Source organism: Homo sapiens, chromosome 14 (assembly GCF_000001405.40).
Source record: "Homo sapiens chromosome 14, GRCh38.p14 Primary Assembly".
Classification (NCBI taxonomy): Eukaryota; Metazoa; Chordata; class Mammalia; order Primates; family Hominidae; genus Homo; species Homo sapiens.
In genome coordinates this window covers 103555480-103562959 of record NC_000014.9, presented here as the reverse complement: position 1 = coordinate 103562959, position 7480 = coordinate 103555480, and the positions used below count along the sequence as shown (strand labels likewise).

At 47.8% G+C, this 7480-nt stretch overlaps 1 protein-coding gene across 3 annotated transcripts, besides 3 other annotated features; it reads left to right on the top strand.

Moving 5' to 3' along the window:
* Positions 46–695: a silencer, noted in NCBI's record as "silent region_6160". NCBI's record gives its function as "represses an Ori minimal core promoter by ATAC-STARR-seq in GM12878 lymphoblastoid cells {active_cell/tissue: GM12878}" and the evidence as "EXISTENCE:reporter gene assay evidence [ECO:0000049][PMID:35858748]".
* BAG5 (BAG cochaperone 5) lies at positions 303–6409 on the top strand. 3 transcript variants are annotated; one of them, NM_001015048.3, is made up of 2 exons: positions 303–344; positions 1768–6409. In NM_001015048.3, the coding sequence occupies exon 2, from the start codon at positions 1796–1798 to the stop codon at positions 3137–3139; it is 1344 nt and encodes a 447-aa protein (NP_001015048.1). In that variant the 5' UTR covers positions 303–344; positions 1768–1795; the 3' UTR covers positions 3140–6409. The 3 variants fall into 3 exon arrangements, with proteins under 3 accessions (NP_001015048.1, NP_004864.1, NP_001015049.2); NM_004873.4 differs by lacking the exon at positions 303–344 and adding an exon at positions 640–860; NM_001015049.5 differs by lacking the exon at positions 303–344 and adding an exon at positions 640–1047.
* Positions 1036–1085: an enhancer, noted in NCBI's record as "active region_9106". NCBI's record gives its function as "activates an Ori minimal core promoter by ATAC-STARR-seq in GM12878 lymphoblastoid cells {active_cell/tissue: GM12878}" and the evidence as "EXISTENCE:reporter gene assay evidence [ECO:0000049][PMID:35858748]".
* Positions 1185–1698: an enhancer, noted in NCBI's record as "NANOG-H3K27ac-H3K4me1 hESC enhancer chr14:104027599-104028112 (GRCh37/hg19 assembly coordinates)". NCBI's record gives its function as "activates a minimal SCP1, AML or CMV promoter by ChIP-STARR-seq in naive H9 embryonic stem cells {active_cell/tissue: H9 hESC(naive)}" and the evidence as "EXISTENCE:reporter gene assay evidence [ECO:0000049][PMID:30033119]".
* Positions 6410–7480: the final 1071 nt, after the last annotated feature.

Below are 7480 nucleotides of genomic sequence, written 5' to 3'. Positions count from 1 at the left end.
GACGGCGCGAGGGGCCGCTTTACGGCAGGGTCGCGAAGCCCGAGGAAGCGCGGCGGCGCGGCCGACCGTGCGCTTTCCCAGCGGTGCGACGGGGTGAGGGGGCGGCGGGCGGCGCGGGCTGACCCGGGCGGCCGCTCCTTGGTCGCGGTCACTCCAGGCTGCCTCGCTGCGCCGCTGGCGGTGGGCGTGGCGCTGCCGGCGGCTAGGCGCGGACGCCGGAGGAGGTGTCCCCGGGTTTAGGGGTGTTCGGCCAGGGGCGGGGCTGCCGGGCCCGGGCGACTGCCGGAGCTGCGGAAGTCGTGGAAGCGTCGGCGACGCATCGCGCGATGGCGCGGGCGGGACAGGTGAGCGAAGCGCGGCTTGTAGCCTTTTCCCTCTCTCGGGGGGACGAGTGGGGCACCACCTCCGCGCGGGGCTCCCCGCTGGGCCACCCCTTCGCCAGCGCCCAGCCCCGTGCGGCCTGTCGGATCAGGCAGGGCAGAGTCGGTCTCGGCGCTGTCCCCGCCCCTGGGGTCGGAAGCGACCGGGGCTGGCCGGGCCTGGTCTCTGGTGTCTCCGGCCGGGCCTCGGTTCCCCTCCTCCCCCGGCTTCCCCCGGCCGGGCCGAGCTCCCCTCGCGCGCCCATTGTGAGGTCACGTCCTGCAGGCGCGCCCTGGCACCCGGGCCAAGACGCCCGGAGCGGCTGCTGCAGCCAGTAGCGGCCCCTTCACCGGCTGCCCCGCTCAGACCTAGTCGGGAGGGGTGCGAGGCATGCAGCTGGGGGCCCAGCTCCGGTGCCGCACCCCGTAAAGGGCTGATCTTCCACCTCGCCACCTCAGCCACGGGACGCCAAGACCGCATCCAATTCAGACTTCTTTTGGGTAAAGGGCCAAGAGGGAAGGGCGAGGCGGGGAGGAAGCAGCTCGGGCCGCCTTCCCTCCGTGGCCTCCAGGACATCCGCCGGGGATAGATTATGCGTTTCCATTGGTTACCCACCTTGAGCGAGCCGTTTGATAGAAACCAAGAGCTTGAAACGTGCATTAGGCCATTGTGGACTCCCAGTGGGAGGCGAGTGAATGAATTATTCATAGTTACCACGTTTTCGCGGGTTGTTTTTTTTTGAGAGAGTGGAGCATGTTGGGGGCTGAGGAGGTGTTGGGCCTCGAAAGCCCAAGGTGGTGCCCTTCAGCGCTGTCCCGGTCGCTCTTCTTTACCTGTGGGGTTTTAATCTCTTCAGGGAGACTTCTGTGAGGGAAGATGTGTGAGGAGCTAAAAGGGTGGGGAGGGGAAGTGCACAAAGGGATGGAGAGAAACGAAGAAGCGGGGACCTTGGGGATGTCTGAGAGCCACTGGTTTTTGTTCTGGTTCTTTCTTTTGCTTAGAGTTTCTGGAAACTAGGCATAGCTGTGTGGCGGGGCGGGGTACTGTTAGTGTTCGGAAGGTTACAAGAGCTACTGTTTCACCTTTCATAAAGGTGCCCTGCTGGTTCCAAATAGTTTGTGTCGCGTACGGTGACTCACACCTTAATCCCAGCACTTTGGGAGGCGGAGGCGGGCGGATCGTCTGAGACCAGCCTGGGCAATATAGTGAGACCTGTCTCTACTAAAAATAACATTAGCTGGGCGTAGTGGTGTACGACTGTAGACCCAGCTACTGGGGAGGCTGAGGTGGGATGACTGCTCAGAAGTATACCTTTTTAAAATGAGAATTTTAGAATGACTTAATATACCATTAGTGTTCTGCAGAAGCCTTGTGCTGTAGTAAGTTATCATTCTTGTCGTCTTTTAGTGCTTGTGAAACTGAACACAACAAAAGTATGGATATGGGAAACCAACATCCTTCTATTAGTAGGCTTCAGGAAATCCAAAAGGAAGTAAAAAGTGTAGAACAGCAAGTTATCGGCTTCAGTGGTCTGTCAGATGACAAGAATTACAAGAAACTGGAGAGGATTCTAACAAAACAGCTTTTTGAAATAGACTCTGTAGATACTGAAGGAAAAGGAGATATTCAGCAAGCTAGGAAGCGGGCAGCACAGGAGACAGAACGTCTTCTCAAAGAGTTGGAGCAGAATGCAAACCACCCACACCGGATTGAAATACAGAACATTTTTGAGGAAGCCCAGTCCCTCGTGAGAGAGAAAATTGTGCCATTTTATAATGGAGGCAACTGCGTAACTGATGAGTTTGAAGAAGGCATCCAAGATATCATTCTGAGGCTGACACATGTTAAAACTGGAGGAAAAATCTCCTTGCGGAAAGCAAGGTATCACACTTTAACCAAAATCTGTGCGGTGCAAGAGATAATCGAAGACTGCATGAAAAAGCAGCCTTCCCTGCCGCTTTCCGAGGATGCACATCCTTCCGTTGCCAAAATCAACTTCGTGATGTGTGAGGTGAACAAGGCCCGAGGGGTCCTGATTGCACTTCTGATGGGTGTGAACAACAATGAGACCTGCAGGCACTTATCCTGTGTGCTCTCGGGGCTGATCGCTGACCTGGATGCTCTAGATGTGTGCGGCCGGACAGAAATCAGAAATTATCGGAGGGAGGTAGTAGAAGATATCAACAAATTATTGAAATATCTGGATTTGGAAGAGGAAGCAGACACAACTAAAGCATTTGACCTGAGACAGAATCATTCCATTTTAAAAATAGAAAAGGTCCTCAAGAGAATGAGAGAAATAAAAAATGAACTTCTCCAAGCACAAAACCCTTCTGAATTGTACCTGAGCTCCAAAACAGAATTGCAGGGTTTAATTGGACAGTTGGATGAGGTAAGTCTTGAAAAAAACCCCTGCATCCGGGAAGCCAGGAGAAGAGCAGTGATCGAGGTGCAAACTCTGATCACATATATTGACTTGAAGGAGGCCCTTGAGAAAAGAAAGCTGTTTGCTTGTGAGGAGCACCCATCCCATAAAGCCGTCTGGAACGTCCTTGGAAACTTGTCTGAGATCCAGGGAGAAGTTCTTTCATTTGATGGAAATCGAACCGATAAGAACTACATCCGGCTGGAAGAGCTGCTCACCAAGCAGCTGCTAGCCCTGGATGCTGTTGATCCGCAGGGAGAAGAGAAGTGTAAGGCTGCCAGGAAACAAGCTGTGAGGCTTGCGCAGAATATTCTCAGCTATCTCGACCTGAAATCTGATGAATGGGAGTACTGAAATACCAGAGATCTCACTTTTGATACTGTTTTGCACTTCATATGTGCTTCTATGTATAGAGAGCTTTCAGTTCATTGATTTATACGTGCATATTTCAGTCTCAGTATTTATGATTGAAGCAAATTCTATTCAGTATCTGCTGCTTTTGATGTTGCAAGACAAATATCATTACAGCACGTTAACTTTTCCATTCGGATCATTATCTGTATGATGTGGTGTGGTTTGTTTGGTTTGTCCTTTTTTTTGCGTTTTTAATCAGAAAACAAAATAGAGGCAGCTTTTGTAGATTTTAAATGGGTTGTGCAAGCATTAAAATGCAGGTCTTTCAGAATCTAGAACTAGGCATAACCTTACATAATACTAGGAAAATTATGAGAAAGGGGAAATTTTTGGTTAAATAAGAGTAAGGTTCAAACACAAGCAGTACATGTTCTGTTTCATTATGCTCGATAGAAGGCTTTTTTTTCACTTATAAGGCCTGATTGGTCCTACCCAGCTTAACGGGGTGGGGTTTTTTTGTTTGTTCAGACAGTCTGTTCTTTTGTAAACATTTTTAGTTGGAAAAACAGCATCTGCATTTTCCCCATCCTCTACGTTTTAGAGAGGAATCTTGTTTTTGTGTGCAACATAAGAAAATTATGAAAACTAATAGCCAAAAAACCTTTGAGATTGCATTAAAGAGAAGGGATAAAGGACCAGCAATAATACCTTGTAAGTTGCTTTTGTTTGTAAAATCTGAGCTTATAGTTTTCCTTAGTGAGTAAATTCATAAGGATGGGAACATTTAAATTAAGTTAATGGGCCTTTAAAAAAAAAAAAAGGAAACACTCATACCTGTAGTTGGAGGATGAATACTGGAGACGGGTTACCAATGTCAGGTTATACTAAAACTAAATCAGAAAGTCTGAATGTAGCACATAATGGTTCTCTTCTGTTGTCCAAGGCTGTAAAATGGACAGCCTTGTCACACCTCCCCGGTGCTGTTTTACAACGTGAGGGTAGACGCTGTCAGTAACCCAGAGGGACCAGGCCTTCCTAGGTTTTCTAGGCAGTCAGCTGTTAACCACTCACTTAGTAAATGTCATAACTACACCTGCTCCAGGACCAATCAGTGAAACCTGCTCGGAATTAAAGGCTTCCTCTGGGTGCCTGCTGAACAACTGAGCTCATGTCATGGGCATGTGGTGGTTTCTCTGTTGCCTGAAAGAGCCATTAAAGTCAGTCGTGCGTGAAGCATCTCTCTTCTAAAGGATGTGTATTTCCATAAATGCTTTCTGAGGATCCGGTACAAAATGATTTCCCAAAGTTCTGAAGTGCCTTGAGAACATGTGGGTCCGAGTGTTATAACAGACTCCTCCCCCGGGTCACCTTTTGCCTGGTCATCCTGTTAGAGTACATCTTTGGAAATCCAGGGTAATATTCTCTTTCAGAGATGCTCATTGTGTAACTCTGTGTAGGGAGATAGTCACTTTAAACAGCTCAAAGTAGCTAGCTAAAGGAGTAGCCTTAAATACCTAAAAGATGACAGAAGCATAGCCCTTAACAAATCTTCAGCTTGTCTCTCAGTATTTCCCAATCATGAAAATCCCTTGCTATGTCTTTCCTACTAGAAATGTTCTAGAATCGCTGGACGGTGGGGTCAGAGGGCAGTCGGTATTTAGGCCGTGAGCTTCCCATACTACTGCAGGTCCAACTCCTGGCAACCGCGGGCTCAAGGCAGGTCATTGGAATCCACGTTTTGGCCACAGTAGTTGTAGGATTGCTTTTCTGTATCATAATTTTAGAATGCTCTTAAAATCTTGAGGAAGAGTTTTTATTTTTTATTTATTTTTGAGATGGAGTCTCTGTTGCCCAGGCTGCAGTGCAGTGGTGCCATCTCAGCTCACTGCAACCTCCACCTCCCAGGTTCAAGCGATTCTCCTGCCTCAGCCACCTGAGTAGCTGGGAGTACAGGCATGTGGCACCATGCCTGGCTAATTTTTGTATTTTTAATAGAGTTGAGATTTCACCATGATGGTCAGGCTGGTCTCGAACTCCTGACCTCGTGATCCGCCCGCCTCGGCCCCCCAAAGTGCTGGGATTAACGGGTGTGAGCCACGGCGCCCAGCCCAGGAAGAGTTTTTAAATTAGAGCTCTGTTTAATTATACCACTGGGAAATCATGGTTACGCTTCAGGCATATTCTTCCCCAGAGTACTACTTACATTTTAAATTTCATTTTGTAAAGTTAAATGTCAGCATTCCCTTTAAAAGTGTCCATTGTTCTTTGAAAGTAGACGTTTCAGTCATTCTTTTCAAACAAGTGTTTGTGTACCTTTTGCCAAGCTGTGGGCATCGTGTGTGAGTACAGGGTGCTCAGCTCTTCCACCGTCATTTTGAATTGTTCACATGGGTAATTGGTCATGGAAATGATCAGATTGACCTTGATTGACTGTCAGGCATGGCTTTGTTTCTGGTTTCAATCTGTTCTCGTTCCTTGTACCGGATTATTCTACTCCTGCAATGAACCCTGTTGACACCGGATTTAGCTCTTGTCGGCCTTCGTGGGGAGCTGTTTGTGTTAATATGAGCTACTGCATGTAATTCTTAAACTGGGCTTGTCACATTGTATTGTATTTTTGTGATCTGTAATGAAAAGAATCTGTACTGCAAGTAAAACCTACTCCCCAAAAATGTGTGGCTTTGGGTCTGCATTAAACGCTGTAGTCCATGTTCATGCCAAAAATGGCTGGGAACGTTTGCTTTATTTACATTCAGTCAGCGTTGCTTTCAGATCACACTTTATCCACACAGGAAAGCCAGTCAGCCTATAATGAAGTAGTTATTAAAATAAATGTAATGAATATGTCTACAAAGTATAGTTTAGTGGTTTATTTTGCTAAAATGCACATATATTTGATATAATTTAGTTTGAGAAGTTCAGCTAGTTTTTCTCCTTTGTTTGACTTTGTCAATTTCTATCTGGTTTTTAAGGGTCTGAGCTTAGCTTGTGCATGCAAGGTTTTGGGTTTTTTTATTTTTTTTTTGAGCACAGCTTTTCACCTTTTAATTTGTTGGGTATTTTTCTCTTAATAAGAGAAATATTGGCCATCGATTTTTACATATAATACAAGTGTGTTTTTCCAGTACATTGGTTCCTGTCCCCTCTCTGTGAACTGTTTGAGTATTGGAACAGTATGTCTTCAATAATTCAATGTTACTTTGAGATACATGTGTTAATATACCCTTAGTTATTCTTGAAATAAAACCAGTCTCTTACGCTTGCAGTGGAGAAAGGCTGTGAGTCTGAGGTGTGTGTTCTCTATATATTATCACCTTCATGAACTGTCTGACCTGGGTGCGGAGCCCTTTTTTTTTTTTTTTTTGAGACGGAGTCTGGCTCTGTCACCCAGGCTGGAGTGCAATAGCGCGATCTCGGCTCACTGCAACCTCCGCCTCCCAGGTTCAAGCAATTCTCCTGCCTCAACCTCCCGAGTAGCTGGGATTACAGGTGCCTGCCACAACGCCTGGCTAATTTTTTGTATTTTTAGTAGAGACAGGGTTTCACCATGTTGGCCAGGATGGTCTCGAACTCCTGACCTCAGGTGATCCACCCGCCTCAGCCTCCCAAAGTGTTGGGACACAGGTGTGAGCCACCGTGCCCAGCTGAGGAGTCCTTCCTTAATGGAGCCCACAGCAGGCAGGCCTGGGGGCAGGTGGCCTCCTTGGCTGCAGTTGGTGGCCATGCTGTAAGGAGGTGAGGGTGGTTGTGTGTGGGCCAGGACCCAGGCCCAGGTGACCAGGTCACTGTGCTCTTGTTGAGACAGCCTAGGAAGTATGTGTGTGATGGGGGTGGGGGCCTCATGCTCTGCTCCCTCAGGAGGATGCCTGGGTCTCAAATAAGAATTGACTTTATTTTTAGAAAGAAGAACCTCTGAGACAGTTCTTGAAAGATCCACTCTCCAGAGGAGAGTTGTGATAGTGTGCTATGAAACCGTCTTCACTGCTTTGTGACGGAGGTGTGGGAGTCTTTCTGTCTATTCGGCCCTTCCCGGCTGTGTGAGGTGTTCTGACTCCGGCCTCCGGCCCTCTCCCAGCCCTAAGTCTAGTGAAGCCCGTGTGCTTGGACTGCAGACGTGCCTGGCTCACTTCGGGCAGTTGTTTGTCTATTTTAAGTCCGCTATGTGACAGCAATAAGTTTTCCTATTTTTAGCCCTTTCCTATTGTATTTTTTGTTTTGTTTTTTGTTTTTTGTTTTTTTGGGGGGAGCGTTTTGTTTGTTTGTTTGTTTGAGGCGGAGTCTCTCTCTGTCACCCAGGCTGGAGTGCAGTGGCGCGATCTCGGCTCACTGCAAGCTCCGCCT

What these genes read in the sequence shown, in the direction of transcription:
- BAG5 (NM_001015048.3), top strand. Translation starts at nt 1,796, where the DNA reads ATGGATATGGGAAACCAACATCCTTCTATTAGTAGGCTTCAGGAAATC.